This window comes from Homo sapiens, chromosome 10 (genome assembly GCF_000001405.40).
Source record: "Homo sapiens chromosome 10, GRCh38.p14 Primary Assembly".
Classification (NCBI taxonomy): domain Eukaryota; kingdom Metazoa; phylum Chordata; class Mammalia; order Primates; family Hominidae; genus Homo; species Homo sapiens.
The window spans coordinates 3,042,138-3,067,378 of NC_000010.11; the positions used below are offsets into that span (position 1 = coordinate 3,042,138).

At 48.2% G+C, this 25,241-nt stretch overlaps 1 protein-coding gene and 2 long non-coding RNA genes across 4 annotated transcripts, besides 6 other annotated features; 1 reads left to right on the forward strand and 2 right to left on the reverse strand.

The window, feature by feature from the left end:
- Positions 1-398: 398 nt before the first annotated feature.
- Positions 399-4,974, reverse strand: LOC124902532 (uncharacterized). The gene is made up of 2 exons (XR_007062356.1): positions 4,683-4,974; positions 399-1,597 (listed from the first exon to the last, which is right to left on the reverse strand). It is a non-coding gene; the product is annotated as an uncharacterized LOC124902532 (long non-coding RNA).
- Positions 3,295-6,114: an enhancer, noted in NCBI's record as "VISTA enhancer hs1958". NCBI's record gives its function as "enhancer in: heart[4/4]" and the evidence as "EXISTENCE:transgenic organism evidence [ECO:0001131][PMID:17130149]".
- Positions 3,600-3,894: a silencer, noted in NCBI's record as "tiled region #955; HepG2 Repressive non-DNase unmatched - State 12:CtcfO". NCBI's record gives its function as "represses a minimal TATA promoter and a strong SV40 promoter by Sharpr-MPRA in HepG2 cells {active_cell/tissue: HepG2}" and the evidence as "EXISTENCE:reporter gene assay evidence [ECO:0000049][PMID:27701403]".
- Positions 4,876-5,441: an enhancer, noted in NCBI's record as "H3K27ac-H3K4me1 hESC enhancer chr10:3089205-3089770 (GRCh37/hg19 assembly coordinates)". NCBI's record gives its function as "activates a minimal SCP1, AML or CMV promoter by ChIP-STARR-seq in naive H9 embryonic stem cells {active_cell/tissue: H9 hESC(naive)}" and the evidence as "EXISTENCE:reporter gene assay evidence [ECO:0000049][PMID:30033119]".
- Positions 5,442-6,005: an enhancer, noted in NCBI's record as "H3K27ac-H3K4me1 hESC enhancer chr10:3089771-3090334 (GRCh37/hg19 assembly coordinates)". NCBI's record gives its function as "activates a minimal SCP1, AML or CMV promoter by ChIP-STARR-seq in naive H9 embryonic stem cells {active_cell/tissue: H9 hESC(naive)}" and the evidence as "EXISTENCE:reporter gene assay evidence [ECO:0000049][PMID:30033119]".
- On the reverse strand, positions 10,357-24,796 carry PFKP-DT (PFKP divergent transcript). Of its 2 annotated transcripts, NR_160681.1 has the most exons (4): positions 24,616-24,796; positions 15,943-16,346; positions 11,823-11,959; positions 10,357-11,005 (listed from the first exon to the last, which is right to left on the reverse strand). It is a non-coding gene; the product is annotated as a PFKP divergent transcript (long non-coding RNA). The 2 variants fall into 2 exon arrangements; NR_160682.1 differs by lacking the exons at positions 10,357-11,005; positions 11,823-11,959; positions 15,943-16,346 and adding an exon at positions 23,183-24,253.
- Positions 20,699-21,649: an enhancer, noted in NCBI's record as "H3K4me1 hESC enhancer chr10:3105028-3105978 (GRCh37/hg19 assembly coordinates)". NCBI's record gives its function as "activates a minimal SCP1, AML or CMV promoter by ChIP-STARR-seq in naive H9 embryonic stem cells {active_cell/tissue: H9 hESC(naive)}" and the evidence as "EXISTENCE:reporter gene assay evidence [ECO:0000049][PMID:30033119]".
- LOC124902536 (wiskott-Aldrich syndrome protein family member 1-like) lies at positions 24,433-25,211 on the forward strand. Its single transcript, XM_047426132.1, has one exon. It carries the CDS (start codon positions 24,566-24,568, stop codon positions 25,001-25,003), a length of 438 nt encoding a protein of 145 aa, XP_047282088.1. The 5' UTR covers positions 24,433-24,565; the 3' UTR covers positions 25,004-25,211.
- Positions 25,140-25,239: a silencer, noted in NCBI's record as "silent region_2069". NCBI's record gives its function as "represses an Ori minimal core promoter by ATAC-STARR-seq in GM12878 lymphoblastoid cells {active_cell/tissue: GM12878}" and the evidence as "EXISTENCE:reporter gene assay evidence [ECO:0000049][PMID:35858748]".

Sequence of the window (25,241 nt, forward strand, 5' to 3'; positions counted from 1 at the left end):
GTGCCATGCTGGTGCACTGCACCCACTAACTCGTCATTTACATTAGGTATATCTCCTAATGCTATCCCTCCCCCCTCCCCCCACCCCACAATAGTCCCCAGAGTGTGATATTCCCCTTCCTGTGTCCATGTGTTCTCATTGTTCAATTCCCACCTATGAGTGAGAATATGTGGTGTTTGGTTTTTTGTTCTTGCGATAGTTTACTGAGAATGATGATTTCCAACTTCATCCATGTCCCTGCAAAGGACGTGAACTCATCATTTTTTATGGCTGCATAGTATTCCATGGTGTATATGTGCCACATTTTCTTAAACCAGTCTATCATTGTTGGACATTTGGGTTGGTTCCAAATCTTTGCTATTGTGAATAATGCCGCAATAAACATACGTGCACACTAATATTTATTGTAGCTTTATTTGTGACAACTAACACCTAGAAACGACCTAGATATCCACCAGCAAGTCAATGGCTAGACCAATCAGGATGTATTGGTGCAATGGAGGAGGGCTCGGCAATGAAAGGGCAGCAGCTGCTGATGCGTCCTGTGTTGCTGAATCTCGAACACATCACACTGAGCAAGAACAGCTGGCAGCAGAACAGCAGGCACTGTATGATTCCATGTTGCACAATTCAAGAAGATGCAGACACATCTATAATGCCAGGAAGCAGCTCTTCCTGGCAAGGGGCTCGCGGAGAGCGAGTGACGGAGAACTCTGGGGTGATAGGAGCCTCGTTTTTCTGACTGTGGTCTAAGTCTCGCTGGTGTGGAGATAAGTCAGAACTCCTCACCGTGTAGGTTTTAAAGATGTGCAGTTTACTGTGCACCAGTTATGCCACAGTAAAGCTCTAAGCCAGGACGAAAAGAAGACTAAAACACTGGCAAGAAATCCAACACTTTTCGTCCTATTTTGGGCTCAAAAATATACGATAATCTTTTTAGATTTGAAGGTAGATTCAGGCTAAAATACTGAGCTCAGAGGTGGTTCCTCAAATGTCCATGTCCTAAAGGAGAGTGCATTCTTATAATAAGTTGGTTGTGAGTTATTTTAAATCCATATCACATATCAGAAAGTACATTGCATTGAAAGTGATCAAAAGCCACCTTATGTAATGGGGACCTGTAAACAGCTACAGGTTTGGAAGAGAAAATTTCTGAGAAAATATCCAAATCTATTCTTTTTGGGAATGATTCACTTTTACTCTTCGTGTACGTGTGTGTGTGACAAAGTCTCGCTCTTGTTCCCACGCTGGAGTGTGATGGCACAACCTCGCCTCACTGCAACCTCTGCCTCCTGGGTTCAAGCAATTCTCCTGCCTCAGCCTCCGGAATAGCTGGGATTACAGGCACACATCACCACGCCCAGCTAATTTTTGTATTTTTAGTAGAGACGGGGTTTCACCATGTTGTCCAAGCTGGTCTCGAACTCCTGACCTCAGGTGATCTGCCTGCCTCGGCCTTGCAAACAGCTGGGAGTACAGGCATGAGCCACTGTGCCCGGCTCTTTTAATCTTTTAATCAGGAAATCAGCAGGACCTTTGAGAGAAGCAACTTAGGGCTCTAGACTCCTTTACAGGTTTCATGGGGCTCTGGGGCCATCTTGTGGTGACGAGCAGGCGCATAGAGCACGAGAAAGAAGAGAAAGAAGGGGAGAAAGGCGTCACAGGCTGTCAGCGAGTACAGTTATGTAAAGATGAGGGTCTTTTAAAAAAGCTTAGGTTACTTAGTAATCGATAATACAGAAGCGATTAAAGTCTTTCTCAAATTTTACTACGCATAAGAATCACCCAACAAGTCCTGTTTAAATGAAGTGTGTGATTCAGCATTTCTTGGGGAGGCTTCATTCCTGCCTCTCTCATGCCCCATTCAGAATGCCCAGTGCAGATTGCAGGCCAGGCTCTGAGCAGCAGGCAGGGCTTAGAAGGTGAGGAAGAGAGACAGACACGAATTCCCAAGGGTTGAAGTTAGTATCTTGAGCTGAACCCCAAGCCTCCTAGCATTGTGTCCCATGCATGCACAGTCCCAGCCTTTTGGATTGGAGTGAGACACAGGACCCCGTGAGCATGAGGGCAGCTGAGGCTTCCACAGAAGCTGAGTGGGGTGGGGACTCCGGGCACTCCTCATTCTCATAGCAGGGAGCTTACCAGACGCTCCAAAAACTAAAGAAGTCCAAAGTCAACTAGGCCAGGATTTCTGTTTTTCTCAATATTAGAGTCTTGGTAACAGGTATATAAAACTCATTTATTTGAAATTGCTTTTCAACCCAGGCATGGTGGCTCATGTCTGTGATCCCAGCACTTTGGGAGGCTGAGGCAGGAGGATCATTTGAGCTCAGAAGTTCAAGACCAGCCTGGGCAACATAGTGAGACCTCGTCTCTACTAAAAATAAAAAACAATTAGCTAGGTATGGTGGCGCACACCTGCAGTCCCAGCTACTCAGGAGGCTGAGGAAGGAGGATCTCATGAACCCAGGAGATCAAGGATGCAGTGAGCTATAATTATGCCACTGCACTCCAGCCTGGGCAACAGAGTGAGATTCTGTCTCAAAACATTTTTTTTAAAGAATTTTTTCTATATATATATATATATATATATATATATATATATATATTTTTTTTTTTTTTTTTTTTGAGATGGAGTCTCACTGTATCACCCAGGCTACAGTGCAATGGTGTGATCTCAGCTCACTGCAACCTCCGACTCCCAAGTTCAAGCAATTCTTCTCCCTCAGCCTCCAAAGTAGCTGGGATTATAGGCACCCGCCATCATGCCTGGGTAATTTTTGTATTTTTAGTAGAGATGGGGTTTCGCCATGTTGGCCAGGCTGGTCTCAAACTCCTGACCTCAGGTGATCTGCCCACCTTGGCCTCCCAAACGGCTGGGATAACAAGTGTGAGCCACTGCCCCTGGCCTCTATAGGTATATATTTTCTAAATTCCAAATTTGTCTAGCTAGCTAGGGAATGCAGCAAAAGAAAGGTGTCTAGAGCCCCATTTGTTCCAATACAATAAACATGGAAAGGACACATAGTTCAGCTAACACTGATTGAAGATGTCCCATGTTTGAGGCAGGCTATAGGGGTGATGGGGTCCCTACTGAACATTGTGCAAAGAAACACAGCCGCCATCCTCAAAAAGGCTGGCATCGTGGTGGGGTAAAGTCTATTCAAAATGCCTCGTGGATGAATCTGGCACTTCCCTTACGAGCACAGTGCCACGTCCACGCTGCTGTTTGTCTTACAAATGGACCATTTGGGATCTGGTCCCAGTCTAAAGAAGTAACGAAGTAACAAGGAGGCGTCCTCCTCACAACAAAGAAAGGTGGGAGGGAGGGACGGGGAGAAAGAGCTAGAGAGACAGAGAGAAAACAGATGGATCATTTCCCCAATCAGTAAGAAACTTTCAAAATATTTTAATACCTTCTTTTAAATATGATTCACTCAAACTATTTTTTTAAAACCATGAATCACGCCAAGAAATGAATCTAATTTGACCCACACGCGGGCTGAAATCAGTTTCACAAAGAGGTTGTTACTCTTACTCAATGTGGTGCATTCAGGTATTTTTTGTTCTATTTCATTGCATTAAACAAAAAGAATGCTGGTCACTGCCTACCAAGAGGCTCATACAGCTCACTGACTAACTCAGGGGTACTTGTCATTCCTGGACACTTGGTCCCCAGCCCACCCGGCTCTCCTCTCTAGGAAGCAAGCTGCCTGAGGCTATTTTAAGTGCTCTCCTTTCTCCACCAAGAATTGGAATCTGCCCAGCTGAGCCCCAGACGCTGGAGGGGTCCCGGGGGTCAGTCAGCCCTGCACCACCCTCCAGCTCCTCTTCTGGCCATACAAGGAAGTCCAGTGTGGGGATGACTAAGCAGCTGACCCGGGGCGGGGGAGGGCAGCCCTGGAGCGGGAGGCAGGGCCGGCCTCTCCTGCCAGCCATCAGCCCCTGCGGGCTTGTCCTGTGGTGAAAAGTCCCAGGCCTCCACCCAGGCAGCACCTGACCTCTCTGCTCCCTGAGAGGAGTGAAGTGGACCTCAAGGTCTGGAGGTGGAGGCACAGCCTTGCACTGACATCAGGCCCTAAGCTCTAGTTCTACACAGAGATAGCCCATCTGTCCTGGCCTCCCGGGGGCTCCCAGGGGCAGGGAGATCTGGCCTGGCCTTCCCAGCAATGCGTGCCTCAGTGGAGAAACCCCAGCTTCCCAGCATTAGGACACACACTCTCTCTCACACCCTCCGTGGTTCCCACTGACCTCACTGCAAAGTCCACAGTAGAAACTCACAGAGACCTGCTGAAGAGGCACCTGCCCAGCTGTCAGCCTGTTCCTCCACCTGCTCCCCCAACCTGCCCTCTCACCTGCTGTCTACACTCATTCCCCCCACCTGCTCTCTCACCTTCCTCTTCCACCCGCTCCTCCCACCTGCTCTCTCACCTGCTGTCTACACCTGCTCCCCCCACCTGCTCTCTCACCTGTTGTCTACACCTGCTCCCCCCACCTGCTCTCTCACCTGCTGTCTACACCTGTTCTCTGCTCTGGCTGCCCCCACCCATCCATCTCCCCCACACCCTTCTTGGACACTGCCCGGTGCTGCCCAGCTCCCTCACACAACACTGCCCCTCCCCACTCATGTCCTGCTTCCTCGATGGTCTTCCCAGAGGAGGCCCCACGTTCTCAGCCCCTACCTGTTCCTCAGGTCACCATTTCCTGGAGCCACCTTCCATCCCCCAGAACTCAGCTGGGCCCTGCAGACATGTACATGCTACCAGGTGACCTGTGGCCACTCCTCCTGCAAAGCTTTTCCAGGTGTCTCTGTTTTTCTTGTTCCTCAGAACGATAAAAGTTCCCAGATCCCAGGGACTTTCAGGCTGCTCCCACCACAGAGCTGGCCAGCATCCTTTGAGGCAGAGAGATGCTAGGGGTAAGTCCATGAGGCGGGGCCTGTCTCCGGGGCTGGGAACCTGGAGTCACTGAACCGGGAGGCCAGCGTGTTGCCCAGGGCTTCGCCTTCCTGCTGTGGTTTGAAAGACAGGAATACTAATGAGGTTTCCTTAACCTCCTAAGTGAGTGTGTGTGTGTATGTGAATGTATGCACGTGCACACACTCACACTCACACACACACACACCAGCCCCTGTAAACAAGGCTGCAGGTTCCAGAGAAGATGGCTCCCTCAACCCACAGAGAATTAAGACAAATCCTCATGAAGCCACGAGCAGAAGTCGGGGGGAAATCATTAACTCTGAATGAGAATCTCAGGAATTCATAAACATGATCTGAAATTACCCATCTCCAGGGAAGGGTTCCAGAAGTCTATTTTGTAGGAAGAAACTTGAGGACCCACTGTTAATAAAATTAGAGTCATTCCTGGAATGTTGCCAGGATATAGCTTACAAGATAGAAAAACAAGCTATAATCATAGGAGTGTATTTTTAAAAAAAAATAGAATAACAGTCAGAAGATGGTCATATTCTAGAAGAGCTGCAGGAATAAGGGAATCATATGCTCCAAAACCCTTTAGAGAAGGTACGCTCGGGCTCCAGACAGTTGGCCTGGTTCTTTGGACAAAAGTGGTGAATTGGTCCTCTCTCTCTCTCTCTCTCTTTCTCCCTCTCTCTGTCCTTTCCTCCCTCCCTCTATCCATCCCTTTCTCTCTCTCTCCCTCTCTCTCTGTCTCTCCCTCCCTCCCTTTCTCCCTTTCTATCTCCCTCTACCTCTCTCTCTCTCTCTCCGTCTCCCACTCTCCCCCTCTCTCTCTGTCTCCCTGCCTGCTTCTCTCTCCCCTCCCCGCATCCCACACACATCATGGTAGAAACGCCGCTTGGTATCATCCCACATCCTCTGTGCCCATCCTCTTCTGCCAACCCACCCTCTGATCTGTATACGGGTCCCTGGTTTATTCTGTCCACCCGAAAAATCTCAGCCCTGCAGGTAGAAGATGCTGCTGTTCTATTTCCATGATGCCAAATGCCTAGAAATTAAGGGAAAAACCCATTCACCAAAAAAAAAAAAGGACCTTATGGAGAATCCTAGCATTTACTTCTGTTATGCTCCTTTTTTTTTTTTTCCTTTTTTTTTTAGGGTCTCAGTCCTGGGAAGCTCTGGGATGAACATGGCTCCTGAGCATAGACACCACCCTGACAGAGGCTCGTGCGTGTTCAGCTTCATCCTCGGAACTTTACACTCACTCTTGACTCACTCCACTTTCTGTGTCTTTTTTTTTTTTTTGGCCTGACTTTTAAAAAAACAATCTGAGAATAAAGTGTAAAAAGAAAGTTTCTGAATCCTTAACTGAGGTCAAAATCTTGGAGCGAAAGCCAAAGATGCAGTGGCCAAGAAGCCCGGGGAACGGGGGGCGCCCCCCAACCCAGAATCAGTCACCAGTGGGGAGAAAACCCCCGAACCCAGAATCAGTCAGCAGTGGAGAGAAAACCCCCGAACCCAGAACCAGTCAGCAGTGGAGAGAAAACCCCCGAACCCAGAACCAGTCAGCAGTGGAGAGAAAACCCCCGAACCCAGAACCAGTCAGCAGTGGGGAGAAAACAAGAGCTTCTATGTGCGGCTCCCTGACGAGCACTTGGAAAGCAAATGCGTTTCAGCCCAGAAGAAGGTCAAGTGAGGAAATGCCCTAAATGGGGCTTATTCCTTGCCCAGCCCTGAGACTGGGCTGGAGGCCCCAGGCAGGAGAGGGAGGGCCAGGCCGTTTCAGGCTGTCACCACAGAAAATGCTGATGGAGCAGGAGGCTGCAGAGTGAGTCGACCTTTCTGCCCTCTATGCAGAGGCCCAGCCCTTGTGGGCGGACCTCCTGACTCCCTCTTCTTACTTAGTCTGGCTACTGTTGGCATATTAAAGTTGGTGATCATTTTGAACATGAGTGCTAAACTGAATTTTGTTAATTCTAATAATTTATCAAAGCATTTTACTATTTCTAGGAAACAGAATTACATTGTCCTCAGAATAATTTTGTCTTTCTTGTTAATAATAATAGTCCTTCAGTCTCCCTGCCTTCCCTCTGGGTGTGAGCGCATCTCTGCCAATGTGGGGCATGAGAACGGATGCCAGAGGCAGACCAAGCAGTTCAGAGGCTATAGCAGCAATTTATTTTTATTTTTATTTATTCATATACATTTTTTTGAGATGGAGTCTTACTCTGTTGCCCAGGCTGGACTGCAATGGCATGATCTCGGCTCACTGCAACCTCTGCCTCCTTGGTTCAAGAGACTCTCCTGCCTCAGCCTCTGCAGTAGCTAGGATTACAGGTGCCCACCACTGTGCCCGGCTAATTTTTTGTACTTTTAGTAGAGACGGGGCTTCACCTTGTTGGCCAGGCTGGTCTTGAATCCCTGGCTTTGGGTGATCCACCCATTTTGGACTCCTAAAGTGCTGGGATTACAGGCGTGAGCCACTGTGCCCAGCCCATTGTGGCATCTTAATCACAGAGCAAAGAAGGCCTGGACCCAGCACGAAGATGATGAAAAGGGGGAAGAGCAGCTGTCTCACCTACGGTGTTGCCAGGAGCTTCCAACTTCGAACATAAGGGACACTAAGTAGCTTTCCCAATAAAACAACTGAGTTGTTGGATAAAACCTACAAAAATACATCTTTGTAAGTGCACGACTGGGCTGGCATTGAAGGATGGAATCCACAGCAGTCAATAAAGAATTGGCAGGAACCAAAGTGGAATTTTTTTTCTGTTTAGACAGTTGCACAGAGGACAGGGCATAAGAAAGAAAACCGGACGCCTCTCCAAAATGAGGTTGGAAATCTGACATCTTAGACTTAAAATAAAAGCCCACCTTAGAGCAGGAGCAGCAAGGAGAGCACCTGTCCCTGCATTGGTGATGGGTGGAGGGAAAACCACTGACCCTGAGAACCAGTGAGAAACAGTCCTCCAGGAGTTCATGCTGGAAGACATCAAGAGCATGGGTCAAATTGACGTGGCACCAGGTGGCTGCTAGCTTCACCTCTACCCCATGTGAGCAGAAAATCCTTGCTGAAACAATGCAACTCTGTCCTCAAAATATCTCCCCACATAAAATTCCAAGGAAGATAAGTCCAGGTGCAAAAAGTTACAAAACATAAGTAAACAAAGTACTGTGGATACATCCAATAATTCAAGAAACAAATTCAGCAGAGCCACAAAAATCCAAAAGGTGGAAAAGATCAACTGCTGGCAAAGTATCCACTGCTGTTGCAGCTGTGAAGAGACTGTATTTCATAAAAAGCTCTGTGGCCTCACATTTGCCTTCTCAGGCATGTCCCCCCAGAAATGCCCTTGCACTGTCTTGTCCAAGAGACACATATGGGGCAAGAATATTTAGGCAGTGATTGTAGAAATAGAAAACACCTGAAGGCCATCCAAATACACCTCTATCAAGGAAAAAAGTTGGCATACTCACATTGTGCAATATTATACAACAGTGAAAATGAACTGCAGTTAAAAGCATCAACAATGAAAAATTACAGTGAACAAAGGAAATTACTGAAAAATACACTGCTATTCCATATACAGTACACAAACCATATGACTTTGCTTAATAATATACACAGAAATGATAAACCTTATGAAAAGCAAGACAAATATTAACACATGAGTCCTATGTATGGGTGAAGAAGGGAGACCCAGGTGATCAAGGAAGGGCATATTGTAGCCTTTCAAGACACTCGATGCTAAAGGATGATGACAACAGTGCAATTATTACTCTATAGGATTATGCATTCAGTTTTGTTCGTTTCTTTGTTTGTTTTTGAGGTGGAGTTTCGCTCATGTAGCCCAGGCTAGAGTGCAATGGCGCGATCTCAGCTCACTGCAACTTCCGCCTCCCAGGTTCAAACGACTCTCCCGCCTCAGCCTCCCGAGTAGCTGGGATCACAGGCGCCTGCCATGATGCTCGCTAACTTTTTGTATTTTTTTTAATAGAGACGGGTTTCACCATGTTGGTCAGGCTGGTCTTGAACTCCTGACCTCAGGTGATCCACCCACCTCAGCATCCCAAAGTGCTGGGATTACAGGCATGAGCCACCATGACTAGCCAAGTTTTATAGACTCTTATGTGTCATATATTTCATAATTAAACATAAAAAAAGCATTTACTGTAGTTTGTAAATGAAAGAGCAATAAAAAATGTTGCAAACTTTTAAACATAAAACCTGTCGTATAGCTCATAGTGACCCTCATATTAAGCTGTGGTAAATTCCAAGTGTATTTCATTGTAATTATCTAAAAACTAGGTGAACAGATGAAAAATTGAGTTCAGTTTTAAAACAAGATCGTAGGCCGGGTGCGGTGGCTCACACCTGTAATCCCAGCATTCTGGGAGGCCGAGGCTGAAGGATCACGAGGTCAGGAGATCAAGACCATCCTGGCTAATACAGTGAAACCCCATCTCTGCTAAAAATACAAAAAAATATTAGCCGGGCATGGTGGCAGGTGCCTGTAGTCCCAGCTACTCGGGAGGCTGAGGCAGGAGAATGGCGTGAACCCAGGAGGCGGAGCTTCCAGTGAGCCGAGATCGTACCACTGCACTCCAGCCGGGGTGACAGAGCAAGACTCCGTCTCAAAAATAAAAAATAAAAATAAAAAAATAAAATAAAAAAATAAAACAAGATAGTAAGATAATGTTACTGGTTGAAGGTGTCCAGGTTCTTGGCACCTTGAACAAAGAATTGGACACAACGCACAAATGGAGCAAGGAAAAAATGAAGCAACAGAAGCAGATATTTATGGAAAATGAAAGCACACTCCACAGGGTGGGAGGGCCCGAGCATGGAGAGACCGTTACTGAAGTTTCTGGGGTTTAAATACCCTCTAGAGGTTTCCATTGGTTACTTGGTGTACACTCTATGTAAATAAAGAGGATGAAGTAAAATTACAAAATCATGTACTCGGTGTACGCCCTGTGTAAATGGAGAGGATATTTCCTGTCATAGCCCAAGAGTTTCCATTTGATTTAGTTCTCCGAAGTCAGGGTGAATCGGCCTTATGTTCCTGCCTCCAGACCCTTTTCTCCTGCCTCCGTGGAATGGATGGCAGGACATGGAAAAGTGTTTTGTCCAAATGACATGTCCAAGGGCACTGGCAGCTGAAGGCAAGAGGGAACCAGTTAGTGCCACGGAGGAATGCCCACCCCCGTCTCCACACCGCACAGAACAAAGTGAGTGTCCTTGTCCTGAACCCTCTGAGGTGAGTATCTTGCCTCAGTGCTTTCATGAAACCCTTTTTTGGAGAGACTCATTCTCTCCCCTTCTGTACCTACAAGGCAGCAGGGATAGCCCCTCTCAGGCTGAAGTTCTTCTAACAAAAAAGAGAATAAAATAATAGAATTAATGTAACGAATAGTAAAATAATGAAAATGAAACTTTTTTTTTTACAGAAGCAGCTCTGGAATTTCATTTATTGGCATTAAAAGCAGAAAATGGTCCTATAGAGCTCAATTTAATGGCAAAGATTAAGGAAAGAATAAAGACTCTGCCTAATAATGGTGACATGAGCTGTTCATATTGTCATTTTCTCTGGGACCTAATATGGGGGAGGAGGCGGGACCCCGTGTCGCCAGGCCCCAGGTGATTTTCACACTGTTTCCCCAAATCACTGCAGCCTCTTCCCTGCTGGTCCCTTGATGCTGCTGCTGTGCCTGGCGTCCTGTGGGACAAGAGTGCAACAGGGCGCTGGGCACCTTGGCAGCTTCCAGTGGGATAGGCCTGCGGCATTCTGAGCCTGAATGCGGTGATCACCAGGAAGTAAGGAGACACAAGCAGGAGGGGTTCCAGGATGGAGGGGCCACTTCTCAGGGATCAGTCTCAGGCCCCAGTTGGGAAGGATCCCCTTTCAGGACAATGGCTCCAGGCCAAGGGCAACGCTGTTTCTGTGCGTCCTGATGACTGACCTGCGTCCACAGGGAAGCGTATCTGGGCTCCTTTTTTCCAGGCTGTGTTGGGAGCACCTTGAAATGGGCACTGGTGGATTTCAATTCCAGCCTTCCGGAAGCCATTCCAAATGGAAACTGAGCTAAGGGATGTAGGTGGAGTAAGTAAACAATTTTAGGTCCCAAACAACAGTTTTCAGATACAATATAGTGTGCGGGGAAAATAAAGCTTTGGGACCCCAATTCACAGCCAAAAAGGAAAAAAAAATTAAGCTGGAAGCTGAATCATGCAAGAAACTGCCTTTCCTTTTGTTCCTAAGCAGATAGCTACAGATAAAGGGTTACATATCTCCACAGGAAGCTGGTCTATGTTCACCTTATCTTACGTACAGGGCTGATTTACCACATGTGAGATGAAGACATAGCTGACCATCCCCATCTGCTCTGTTTCTCTTGCAACCTAAGGATGACCACAGGTTCCCTCTTTCCCCTCCAGCCCACCCTTCCCCTCCAGCCCACCCTTCCCCTCCAGTCCACCTTTTCCCTCCAGCCCACCCTTCCCCTCCAGCCCACCCTTCCCCTCCAGCCCACCCTTCCCCTCCAGCCCACCCTTCCCCTCCAGCCCACCCTTCCCCTCCAGTCCACCTTTTCCCTCCAGCCCACCCTTCCCCTCCAGCCCACCCTTCCCCTCCAGCCCACCCTTCCCCTCCAGCCCACCCTTCCCCTCCAGTCCACCTTTTCCCTCCAGCCCACCCTTCCCCTCCAGTCCACCTTTTCCCTCCAGCCCACCCTTCCCCTCCAGCCCACCGGTCCCCTTTAAATACTGAAGCCCTCAAAATCATACTGGGAGGAAGGCACAGACCACAGACTGTTTCTGTGATTCCATGTTTTTTCCTTCCGAGCATGTCCTTAACCTTGGCAGAATTAACTTTTAAATGGATTGAGATTGGTCTCAGGTACCTTTTGGTTTACAATCGCATGCCTCAGCCAGCGCACTGCTCTGTGGCCTTTGTCCTCTTTTACCAAACGAGGAGGGTGGATTCCACAATCCTAAAACCCCTTCAGCTCTCCATAGGTTTCTGGGAGGACACAGTTACCTAAGAGATTAGAGACAGCATCACAAAAATATAAGCAGATGATGTGTGTCAGTTAGGGTTAAGTTTGGCTGCATAAAATGGAAGACTCAAGCTAACAGAGGCTTACACATAGAAAGGTCTGTCCTTTCACATGAAAGGAATCTGAAGGGAGGCAATCCTCCCCTGTGCACTGGATCTGTGATCTTATCAGAGAGCCCAGCTTCTCCTGTCATTCCCTCAGGCACTTTGACTGAAGGTGGTTGTATCTTCTAGATCACCTCATGCCCCAAGATAGCAGCTTTGTTCCTGCAATCACAGCTGCATTCAAAGCAGCAGGAAAAAGAAAAAAAAAAAAAAGCCATACTCAGTAGTTGAACTCCTTTTAAGGAGTCCTTTTGAAAGTCGTGCTCAACAATTCTACTTAAATCACATGGGCCAGAATGGACCCACATGACCACATGCGTGCACAAAGACAGCTGGGGAATGAAGCATTTAGCGCAGAGCCTCAGTCAGAAGAGGAGGAGGAAATGGATGTTGAACCAACTGTTTCTGTCACATGGTGTTTTAGTTGAGCTTGGAAGGATGAGTGGGTTATTCACAGACGTGCTTGGAGAGAGACACAAGCAAGGATCGTTGTGGAAGAAGCATGCCGGGAATTTTCAGGATACAAAGAGTCCCCCCACCACTGCAGAGTCTTCTAGCTAAAAACTCAAGGGCTTCTGAATTATTTCCATACTGTTTCTTTCTAAATTTAGAAGATTTACAATTCAATTATGTATAATGCTAAGACCTTGTCTTCTTGGAGATAATTCAAAAACAAGTCTGTTTTTGTTTGGAAAGAGAAACCTAAGACCCACATGGAGGGGGAGGAAGTTTCTAGCTTCCTGGAACACAATGCTGGAAGGAATTCAGGTGAAATATTCCATGGCCTTCTGACTGCTCTCTGGTGCCTGTTGTGAAGTCTAAAAGCTGTGATGCTCCCAGGGAATGGCTATGTTCTGAAAGCTTTTCCAGGAAAGTATCTTGAGTTGGGCTACATCCTTAGCTCCCTGGTTCTCAGAAAGAGCCTTCTCGAAGTCCAGAGGGCACTTAGATAAGACAGACTACATGGCACTTGAGGTTTCCTCCGTGATTTTCTTCCAGACATCTCTGAGGCATCAGAAGCAAGGGTCAACAACTCAGTGTAATAGAAACTTTTAAATGGATCAAATATTAGGATAGAAGGAGAAACCTTCAAAATTATGCCTATTATTTAGCACTTCATCTGCCACAAAGCAAAACAAAGTATAAACTTCTCACTGCAACTGTGAGAGAAGAGGATACTAAAACATTTTGTCTTAGCCTGTTTTCTGCTTCCCTTAACAGAGTACCTGAGACTGGGTAATTTACAAAAACAGAGATTCACTTCTCACAGTCCTGGAGGTGGGAAGTACAAGGTTAAAGGGTGATCTGGCAAGGACCTTTGTGCTGTGTCATCCCACGGGAAGGTGGGAGGGCAAGAGAGCATGAGGGAGTAAGAGGGGTCAAACTCACTTTTGTAACAGACCCACTCTTGTGATAATGAACCCACTCCCCCAATAACAACATTAATCCGGCCGGGCGTGGTGGCTCACGCCTGTAATCCCAGCACTTTGGAAGGCCGAGGTGGGCAGATCACGAGGTCAGGAGATCAAGACCATCCTGGCTAACACGGTGAAACCCCGCCTCTACTAAAAATACAAAAAAATTAGCCGGGCGTGGTGGTGAGCACTTGTAGTCCCAGCTCCTCTAGAAGCTGAGGCAGGAGAATGGTGTGAACCCAGAAGGCGGAGTTTGCAGTGAGCTGAGATTGCACCACTACACTCCAGCCTGGGCAACAGAGCGAGACTCCATCTCAAAAAAAAAAAGCAAACAAACAAACAAAAAACATTAATCCACTCATGAGGGTGAAACCCTCATGACCTGATCACCTCTTAAATATCCGTCCCCTCAGCACTACTGCATGAGGGGTTCAGTTTCCAACACGTGAAATTTGGGGGACACTTTCAAACCATAGTAAGTAGGAAATGGCAAAAATAAATTACTTATACAGTGTTTATCACTAGTAATAAAGTATGCACAAAACATCATTTATAGTCTATATTCACTATAATATGTTGTGCTCTATTTTCATGTTAATTCATGCAAAAAAAACAAAGAGAAAGATGTTCGAGAGAGGTATTAAGAAACAGCACCATAACCTTTAGAAAAACTAGAAACTGGTAGAAGTCAGTGTTTTAAAAACCTTTTTTATTTGCTGCTTGTTTGGAAGTCAGTGGTGACATTTCAAGGAGGAGTTGTCATTGGGAGGGCAGATTTCAGGAGGCTTTAGTAAGAGTGCGTGGGGAAGACAGGGAAGGAAGGAGGACAGGTGACTTAGAAAGATTCCTGGTGGTGATTGGAAGTGCAGAAATAGAATGGTGACCTCAGGGAGAAGCAATTCAAGGAACGTTGTGCTTTTGCTTCTCTCTGCCTTTCTCCCCATCTCTCTTTCCATCTCTCTCTGCCTCTCACTTTGCCTGTCTCTGTTTCTCCCTCTCTCTCTCTCTCCTGGTTGCTCTGTCTCTCTCTGTCTCTTTTTAAGACTCTGTGTTTGTCTCTGTTTCTCTCTTCCCCTCATCTCTTACTCCATCTTTCTATGTCTGTCTGTGTCTCTGCTTCTCTGACCCTCTCTCTCTCTCTCACTCTCCCTCTTTGTGTGTGTGTGTGTGTGTGTGTGTGTCTCACTCTGTTGGTTTCTCACTCCCACTCTCCATCTCGCAGCTCTCTGGTTTCACTATGCAAGCTGACTCTCCCCACCTGATGATCCAGTGGGATTAGCAGGAAGCGGGTGGACCACCCCCACCACCCACATCCTGTGCCCATCCATGAACTGGGGCACAGGAGAGGACTGATCTCCCTACTTGGCCTGGCTGGACACGCTGACCCTCAGGTCCACAGGCAGTGGAAGGAGCAGTTCCTGGAAGGTGAGAGTGGGTCCTGTGGCAGATGGAAGAGACAAGTATGTTGAGCAACAAAAATGATCAGCACTTGGTCTATGGTAGCAGGAGCTCAGAGGTGAGGAATCTTAGGGCCTTAAACGAGCGGCCCACTGTGGCAAAAACTTTTTTAAACAAAAAAATAGTCAGCCCCTAAGGAGTGTTCCAATGACCACCTCTTAAGCAATACAATTGATCCTTGAACAATGCAGAGATTAGGGGCACCAACCCGCCACACAGTCGAAATTCAGCCAATAACTTTTGACTACCCAAAAACGGATTGACCGTTACCCAAGAATAGCCTATTCTTGGGTAAAAGCCTCAGTGATCACGCAGATAATTGGTTAACACAAATTTTGTATGTTATATGTATTGTATAGTGTATTCTTACAGTAAAGTAAGCTAGAGGAAATAAAGCAATCCTAAGGAAAATGTGTTGACTATTCATTAAGTGCCTCATCATAGAGGTTCTTCTCCTCACCTTTGCATTGAGTAGGCAGAGGAGGAGGATGTGGAAGGAAAGGAGGAGGGGTTGGTCTTGCTGTCTAAGGGGTGGCAGAAGTGAAAAAAATCCATGTGTAAGTAAGTGACCCATGCGGTTCAAACCCTGCTGTTCAAGGGTCAACTGTTTGAACAGGGAAGTTTTGAAGTGACCTCTTTTCTTTTCTTTTTTTTTTTTCCTTGAGACAGGGTCTCACTCTGTTGCCCAGGCTGGAGTGCAGTGGCTCGATCTTGGCTCACTGAAATGGAAGTGACCTCTTTTCAAACAGGGCATGGCCGGGAAAGGGGGAGGAAAATGGCAAAGTCTACCCCACAAACTCAGGACCAAGATCCCTAATTTCTTCCCCTGGTGAGCGAGGCTCCCATTCCCTGGACTACAAAGTCTATTTGGGTTCAAAGACCACCTAGGCTCTGGGCTTGGCCTTCCAAGAGAAGAGGGTACCTGGGCCCTCCCAAGAATGCAGAGCTGTCTGCCCCGGACGTGTGACCGCAGCTCTGATCCTGTACCTGGTCTGAGCTTCACTGCACCAGTCACTCCTCCTCCTGCAGGTGGACCCAGCCGCAGGCTCTAAACCAGGCAACACGTGGTTGTGGGTGGATGTGCTTGCAGGCAGAGGAAGAGGTCGCAGCTTACATAAGAATCTCAAAGTTGACACCCAAAGAAGATAAAAGCGCCTGCCGGATGCTGGCATATACAACTAATGAGGATAATGCTCTGGGTGTACATCCTGGCACACTGGAAGAGCATTCTTGTTCATGGTGGTAGTTTCAAATATTTCAGTGAGTTTTCCCTTGAATGCCTCAGCCGGGAGCCATTTCAGTTCCGCTCAGGCAGCAAGGGAGCTTCAAGGACTCGTAGTTAGGAATTCAAGCTTGTACACAGCGACAGGTCACAGGTCCGTGGAAGATACCTGTCAACCAATATTCAGATTTAGCATTCCATAACTGAGGCATAGGGCATCTCTGACCTCATCTGACATGGCTAAAATCATGATTGTTTTTCTAACTGGGAAATTTATGTAACTTATTTGCCAATAAAGAACCATCTCTCTCCCCCCATTTTCTGACATAACGCTAGTCATTAGGGAAATGCTCTGACAATGTTCATGAAAGAACAAACCAATGTCTTCTGCTTTAATACCACGGATTTAACACATATGACTCTTGCTGCTTCCATATGACACTAAAAGTATCAGGAGTGCCAGGAAGTCTCTTTAATCGTCGTTCTCCAAAGTGCTCAGGAGATGAAGTCATTCTGTGAAGTGGACTTCAGTTGACACCACTGAGAAAATGTCCCAGAGAAAGTAAAACTTGTAATGGCATCATACTTTACAGAAATAATGCAAACTTCTTTCTTTCCTTTCTTTCCAGTTTTTAGATATTAATTTTAATTGGTTCAGGGCAACCTGTTTCTGCATCAAAGTCTTGGGAAGCTTCCAACTGTTTTTATTTTTACTTTATTTTTTTAGAAATAGAGTGTCACTGTTTCACCCAGGCCAAAGTGTAGTAGTATGATCACGGCTCACTGCAGTCTCAACCTCCCAGGCTCAAGCAATCCTCAGGCCTCCACCACCTGAGTAGCTGGGACAACAGCTGTGCCACCATGTCCTGCTAATGTTTTATTTATTTATTTATTTATTTATTTATTATAGAGACAGGATCTCGTTATGTGGCCGAGGCTGACCTCAAACTCCTGGTCTCAAGCAATCCTTGTGTCAGCCTCCCAAAGTGCTGAGGTTATAGACATGAGCCACAGCACACAGCGGATTTATTTTATTTTCTCAGAACTCTATGCAACCTGATTCTGCATACTTAAGGAAAAAGAAGCCAGACAAAGGTGGAAGTAGTTACACACAATGTGAGCATCATTTGGCACTTAGACAAGAGAGGCAGATTATAAAAATAAAAGATTCACATGTCACAATTGGCTGTGGGCTTCGATATGGACTCCAGCACTTTTTATTTTTACTTTTTTGGGAGATAGTGTCTCACTCTGTTGCTCAAGCTGGAGTGCAGTGATGTAATCATAGCTCACTGTAATCTCAAACTCCTGAGTTCAAGTGATCCTCCTGCCTCAGCCTCCCAAGTAGCTGGGACTACAGGTGTGCCATCGCTCCAGGCTAATTTTTTTGGATTTTGTAGAGACGAGGTCTCCCTATGTTGCCCAGGCTAGTCTCAAACATCTGACCTCAAGCAATCCTCCTGCCTTGGCCTCCAAAGCTCTGGGATTATAGGTGTGAGCCACTGTACCCGGCCGAGAAACCAACCCCACCTGTTTTCTATATAAAGTTTAGCATCTAGATACAAAGCAAAATACTTTTTAAAGATCAAAGAATCTGCAGGGAAGCTGGTGGGAGGAGAATAGGCTGAAGGCAGCGTTTTCTGATCTACAGTTTTGCTTATTCTTGAACTTTCCAAAGTCCCGAAAGAAGCAGAAGGAAAGTGAGAAGAAGGGAGGAAGAGGCAAGAGGAAAGGAGGATGGTTGCCCCTCTGTGGTTGCAGATTAGCCCAAGGCAGCTCAGTGGCTGGCAAGGAAAGAAGGAATGAAACCCCCAAGGCCGAAGGCAGAGTCAGAGTCCTGGGTCCAGCAGGGTCTGGAGGGGAGGAGGGTGCCGGCAGCCAAAGACCTTCCCGCTAGCACTGCAACCTCTTAAATTGCTTACGCTTTTATCCAAATTTGATGTGTCTGCGTTTTGTAGACTTCCAAAACAAGTCACTTAGGGTAACGCAAGCAGGAAGGGGAGGATGATAGGAGAAGGGGCCCCACCTGATGCCGCCCTTCTGGCTTTTATCCATTCCTGGGAATGACGGGGGACGCCCCTATGGGAGATACAGTGGCGTGGAGCAACAGTGGAGAATTCCAAGTCCGAAAAGCAATTGGCATTTTAAAGGAAAGTAAGAAATCACCCTGAATATATGAAATACTGGGAAAAAAGGTTGTTACTGATAATTCTCAAGAGACCACTCTGGTGAGATTGGGTTTCTCTGGGGATGTGTCAGGCAGGGTATAAGTACTGAGTGGGCACCTCCTACCCACCCTTCAGGCTCCTCCCTCAGCTCCTGTCTCCTGAAGCAGTCAGAGGGCAGCTCCGGTCCTCACCTCCTCTGAGCGACCCGCTCACTCATTCACTCACTCATTCATTCACTCACTCATTCATTCACTCACTCATTCGGTCACTCACTCATTCACTCACTCACTCATTACTCATTTACTCATTCACCCCCTTTTACTCAATCACTCATTCATTCACTTTCACTCAGTCATTCACTCATTAACCAATTCACTCACTCATTCACTCATTCACTAACCCATTCAGTCACTCATTCACTCATTCATCACTAACCCATTGACTCACTCACTCAATCACTCATTCACTCACTCAATCACTCATTCACTCATTAACCCATTGACTCACTCCCTCAATCACTCATTCACTCACTAACCCATTGACTCACTCACTCATTCACTCACTAACCCATTGACTCACTCAATCACTCATTCATTCACTAACCCATTGACTCACTCACTCGATCACTCATTCACTCACTCATTCACTCATTCACTAACCCATTCAGTCACTCAATCACTCATTCATCACTAACCCATTGACTCACTCACTCAATCACTCATTCACTCACTAACCCATTGACTTACTCAATCACTCATTCACTCACTAACCCATTGACTCACTCCCTCAATCACTCATTCACTCACTAACCCATTGACTCACTCCCTCAATCACTCATTCACTCACTAACCCATTGACTCACTCAATCACTCATTCACTCACTCAATCACTCATTCACTCACTAACCCATTGACTCACTCAATCACTCATTCATTCACTAACCCATTGACTCACTCACTCGATCACTCATTCACTCACTCATTCACTGTGGGGAAAAGAAAGAGAGACCAGACTATTACTGTGTCTGTGTAGAAAGATGTAGACATAAGAGACTCCATTTTGTTCTGTACTAAGAAAAATTCTTCTGCCTTGAGATGCTGTTAATCTGTAATCCTACCCCCAACCCTGTGCTCCCTGAAACACATGCTGTGTCAACTCAGGGTTAAATGGATTAAGGGCTGTGCAGGGTGTGCTTTGTTAAACACATACTTGAAGGCAGCTTGCTTGTTAAGAGTCATCACCACGCCCTAATCTCAAACCACTCCCTAATCTCAAGTACCCAGAGACATAAAGCACTGCGGAAAGCCACAGGGACCTCTGCCTAGGAAAGCCAGGCATTGTCCAAGGTTTCTCCCCATGTTATAGTCTGAAATATGGCCTCGTGGGAAGGGAAAGACCTGACCGTCCCCCAGCCCGACACCCGTAAATGGTCTGTGCTGAGGAGGATTAGTAAAAGAGGAAGGAACGCCTCTTTGCAGTTGAGATGAGAGGAAGGCTTCTGTCTCCTGCTCCTCCGTGGGCAATGGAATGTCTCGGTGTAAAGCCGATTGTATATTCCATCTACTGAGATAGGGGAAAACTGCCTTAAGGCTGGAGGTGGGACATGCTGGCAGCAATACTGCTCCTTAAGGCATTGAGATGTTTATGTATATGCACATCAAAAGCACAGCACTTTTTTCTTTACCCTGTTTATGATGCAGAGACATTTGTTCACGTGTTTACCTTCTGACCTTCTCTCCACCATTATCCTATTATCCTGCCATGCCCAATAATGATCAATAAATACTAAGGGAACTCAAAGGCCAGTGCCGGCATGGATCCTCTGTATGCTGAACGCCAGTCCCCTGGGCCCCTTTTTCTTTCTCTATACTTTGTCTCTGTGTCTCTTTCTTTTCCAAGTCTCTCGTTCCACCTAATGAGAAACACCCACAGGTGTGGAGGGGCAACCCATCCCTTCAATTCACTCCCTCATTCACTCACTCCCTCATTCACACACTCAGCCATTCACTGACTCACCCTTTCACTCACTCATCCATTCACTCATTCACTCACTTATTCACTCACTCACTCATTCCCTCATTCATTCATTCACTCACTCACTCATTCACCTCTTCACTCACTCATTCACTTCAATCATTCACTCTCTCACTCATTCACTCACCCTTTACTCATACACTCACTCATTTATTGACTCATTCACTCATTCGTTCATTCACTCATTCACTTGTTCACTCACTCATTCACTTGTTCACGCACTCATTCACTCACCCATTCACTCACTCACCGGCTCATTTGCTCACTCACTCATTCACCCACTCACCCATTCACTGAGTCATTCATTCACTCACTCACTCATTCACTCCTTCGGTCACTCACTCACTCATTCACTCATTTATTCACTACTTATTCACTTACTCACTTATTCACTCACCCATTCACTAAGTCATTGATTCATTCACTTATTCACTCACTTATTCACTAAGTCACTCGTTCATTCACTTATTCATTCACCCATTCACTCACTCACACATTCACTCACTCACGTTCACTCATTCACCCACTCATTTCACTCACTCATTTACCCACTCACTCACTTACTCCTTCACTCATCCACTCACTCACTCATTCACTGACTCACTCACTCACCCATTCACTCATTTACTCCTTCACTCACTCACTCCATTCATTCAGCAGCACCCATGGCAGGTTCACTCTGTCCTGGGCTCTGCTGTTGCCCTGGGCCTGCAACAGGGAATAGTCAAAGATCTCTGAATCCACAGCATTCAGAGTTCAGCAGGGGGGCCTGTCGAGAAGCCCAGCAGATAGGTGAAATGCCCCACGTGTGACACGCATGAGGCTGTTTTAAGAGAAGCGGGGAGGGAACAGGAGTGTGCATGGAGCCCGAATTTCTAACAGGGTGATCTGGGGAGGCCTCACCATGCAGGAGACCTTGCAGGACAGACCTGAGGAAGGTGGGAAGAGTGGGTAGGGAGAGGAGGGCCCGGGCTGAGGAAAGAGCAGGCTGGGCCTGAGGTTGTCGGGTGCCTGCATGGGTCTCTGGGCAGCACTAGGATCCGATGGACCAGTGGGCCATGTGTGGGGCCTGTGACTCCCAAGTCAGCAGAGGAGATGCCTGAATTACATCCTGATAGGTGCACCCTGACTTTGAAGCTGAGGACACCCGAGGCATGGAGGTGGGGTGGAGGTGGGGGCAGAGCAGGGGATGGGGAGGGAGCCTGTGTCAGTCCAGGTCACAGGTGGTAGCTTGGCCCCAGTGGCTCCAGATGCAATGAAGAGCCAGGAGGGACCTTCCTGAGAGACTTGGATGCCAGGGTAGAGGAGCACTGCAAGGCTTCAGCCTGAGACCCTGGGAGGATGGGGTCACCAGGAGCTGAGGTGAGGAAGACCGAGGGGTGGGGGGTTGCGTGGGGGTGCAGAGGCCTAAGCTCAGTTTGGCCCCTGCAGATTTGAGATGCCTACTCCATGCACAGGCAGAAACAGCAGGGGAAGGGAAGAGGCTGCAGCTCAGGTAGCCCTGGTGGTGGAATGTGCAGCCCAACATGCCGGAACACAGGGTTATGGTGCCCTCATGGCTAGGAGCTGCTTTCCTCCTGGGATGGCAGGACTCCTTTAGGGCACATGGGCAGCTCCTGCGCTCACCGCAGAGGGGAAGTGGGAAGGGCATCTGTCCCTATGCATGTTCTCCTTCACCTTGTCCTAGGCAGGTCCCAGGCAGCACCTCCCCTCCCAGTGGCTCCCCGTGGCCCCTGCCCCTAGTGTTCACAGCCAGATCCTCGAAGAGGGCTGGACTCCGTTGCTCACTTCTAATGAACAGAATCAGGCAAAAGAGACGGCGGTCTTTCCTGAGATTGGATTGGGAAGGGCTGCAGGTTCCGTCCACTGGAATTCTCCCCCTGGCTCTTGACATGTGCTAGTTCTGGCAAAGCCAGTCACCTGCCCAGGGCAGAGGGCAGCCTGAAGCTGATGCCAGGGACAGACTGGGGCCTTCAGTCCAACAGCCTGCAAGCAACAGAATCCTGCCAGCAACACAGGAGTGAGCGTGGAAGCAGCTCCTCCCATGATGAGCCTGAGCCTTCAGAAGACACTGTAGCCCTGGGCAGACACCTGTTGCAGCCACAGAGGGCCCCTGGGGCAGAGGGCCCAGTGAAGCCTGTCTGAACTCCTGGTCCAAGGAGTAATCATTCCTGTGGTATAAGTGTGTGCTGGTGTGGGCCACAGTTTGCAGTAATCTGTCAAGGGACAATAAAGAACAAACACACATGTCAGGTCCTACTGGGTGGAAGCCGTACAGTCAACAAGGCATGCAGTATCTTCCTCTTGAATTAGAAGATTCATTGCTCAGGCCAAAGATTAAACAACAAAAAAAAAATCTCTAGTTGTAGCACCATTAAAATACACGACTTGCAAAAAAAAAAAAAAAAAAAAAAAAAAAAAAGAGCCATAGCTATGCTTTTCCATCTTAGCTACAGGTATATATAAATATATGTTAATTCCTTGACTGACTGAGCAATGGGTCAAACTCATGAGAATAGATGTGTGAGGACGGTCAGTGACCACCCTGACCCCAGCCCTTACATACAGACAAACTTTTGAACATAATCCATAACCCTGGGGATCTGGACACTCTAAATTTTATTGTTTTTAATTAACTATTTCTATTCCCCAAACAATACCTGTTCATTGGAGAGAAAAATGGCATTACCTATACTAAGCAAAAGAAAGGAAATAAAATGCTCAGAAACATTTACGTGTGTGCACACTCACACACACACTTACACGCACACGTGCGCACATGCAAGCACAGGCTCACACTGTGTCCAGGCCTGCCTTTTCATTTATTTGTTTGACCTGAACATATTTCCATGTCAGTCGACACTTATCTTCGTAGTGGTAACAGCAATTAAATATTATCGCAGCGTATATTTTTAACCATCATTTATTTAACTCGTCATGTTTGAACTGTTAGGTTGTATTTATCGTTTTCTGTATTACAGACGACTTGATGACAAATGACCAATCCTCTAATGTTCAATATAAAAATATCAATTGCATAAGGAGATAAGGGGCATTTGGCTAAAATAAAATTCAGTGTGCCCCACCCTCTCCACATGTAATTTGCTCTAAAAAGGCATGAATGACTAAATTAGCCCTTCTATTCTCCAGCGCAGCTCCTGAGCCCAGCGGTGGGTGCAGGTGCTTAGAGCCTGGCTCTGCTCTTCTGCCGCCAGAAGGCGAAGGGCACCCAACCCAGGATTCTCCTCTCCTTTTTTATTAATAGAAGAGTGCTCAGGCTCAGTGCATGAGAGCAGCGCTCTCTGACTTTGCACTTATCAGAGTAACCTAGGGGGCTTGTTTAAAAATACACATTCCCTGGCTGAGCTCCCAGAAATTGGACTTCAGTGGTTTAGCGGGAGTGTGCATAGGCCAGGTGATTCTGAGGACCAACAGGGGTTAGGAATTGCCCCGTTAATTCTGGCCAAGGGAGAGATCAGACCATCCAGCATTGTCCGCAGCAGAGTTTTTCCCCCTCTTTTGCAATGAATATTTGATGCTCAGAGGGATGAGCCCCAGGATGAGGCACACATCCAAGAAAAATCCATGCCTCTCCATCTTTTCCCCAGGATTGCCCTAAGGCGAGCCGCTCTTTGTGATTCCTTCACTTTCCCCGGTTCATAGAACAGGCCTCTTCTTAGTCTGTTTTGTTGTCTCTTATCTGTTCAACAAACACCCACTGCGCAGGACCATCCTCCGGTGAGCCGTCGAGTGGGGCCGTTTGGGAGCCCTTCTTCGTGGGTGAGCACTGAAGGAACCCGGGTCCCATAAGCCCGTGCTTCTATGGGGGCTGCCCCCTCTCCCATCGCAGGGTAACTGGCACCAGGCTGTTAAGCTGTGGATGGGCAACCGCACAGTGCATTGGATGTGAGTATTTCAGTACGTGGAGCTGGCCAGTGGAGCCGGCCGAGGTCAGGCAGAGCGTACAGCAGCGCGCGTGTCCGTGGGGAGGGAGGGTCCTCCCGCCTCCCCGCCTCCCCGCCAGGCCAGTCCTGTTGCGCCTCCTCCTGCCCCACTCTGACTTTCCAGCGCCCAGGCCGGGGCGCCGCCAGGGCGTCTCTGAGGGTCGCGCCCCGATACCTTCCTCCACCCCACGGCTTCTTCCCCCCAAGGGCGGGGCTGGGGGCCCAGGAGCACCACAGCCCCCATGGGCCCGGGAAATGGCAGCTTCGTCATGGCCCAGCCCGCCACGCTCACCTTTTCCCACCACCTGGAGGATCCACTCTCCGTCCGTCCTTCCCGACCTCAGGCTGCAGAGGAAACCTGGGGGCGGGGGTCGAGGAAGCCGAGCCCCGAGGCTCCCAGCGCCGCCCCAGGAGGAATCTTGCGGGCCACTAGAAGCTGTGCGCGCGGCCGGGCTCGGCCCCCACAACGGCCCGAGCGGCCGGGCCTGCCGCGAGCCTCCGCGTCCAGGTGGGGTCTCCGCGCCCCCATTCCACCCCTCCCCGCCATCGGCGCTCCCCGCAACTGCGGGGTTTCCACCCGCCCCGGCGCTCGCGCCCACTCACGGTCTCCCTCGCCCCCCCGGGAGATGCTCCCGGCGTTCTATCCCGCCCCGCCCTGGCGCGCCCCGCAAACGATGTGACCCCGGCCCCCTGCGGTCTCCCCTCCTCCGGACGCTGCCCCTGCCCCACCTGTGGCGCTCCCGTCATCTCTAGAGCCCCCAACCAGAGTCCTCCAGCCCACCCGCGAGGCTCGCGCACCTGCGATGCGGCCCCACTAGCAGGGACCCGCCCACCTGTGGCGCTACCCCTGCCTCTGCCGCCTCCCGCACCGCTAGCGCGGCCCCCACCTACGACGACCCCCGCGTAGATGCTCCTGCC

Excerpts from the sequence above, each read along its gene's own strand:
- LOC124902536 (XM_047426132.1), top strand. The coding sequence starts at position 24,566 with ATGGGCCCGGGAAATGGCAGCTTCGTCATGGCCCAGCCCGCCACGCTC.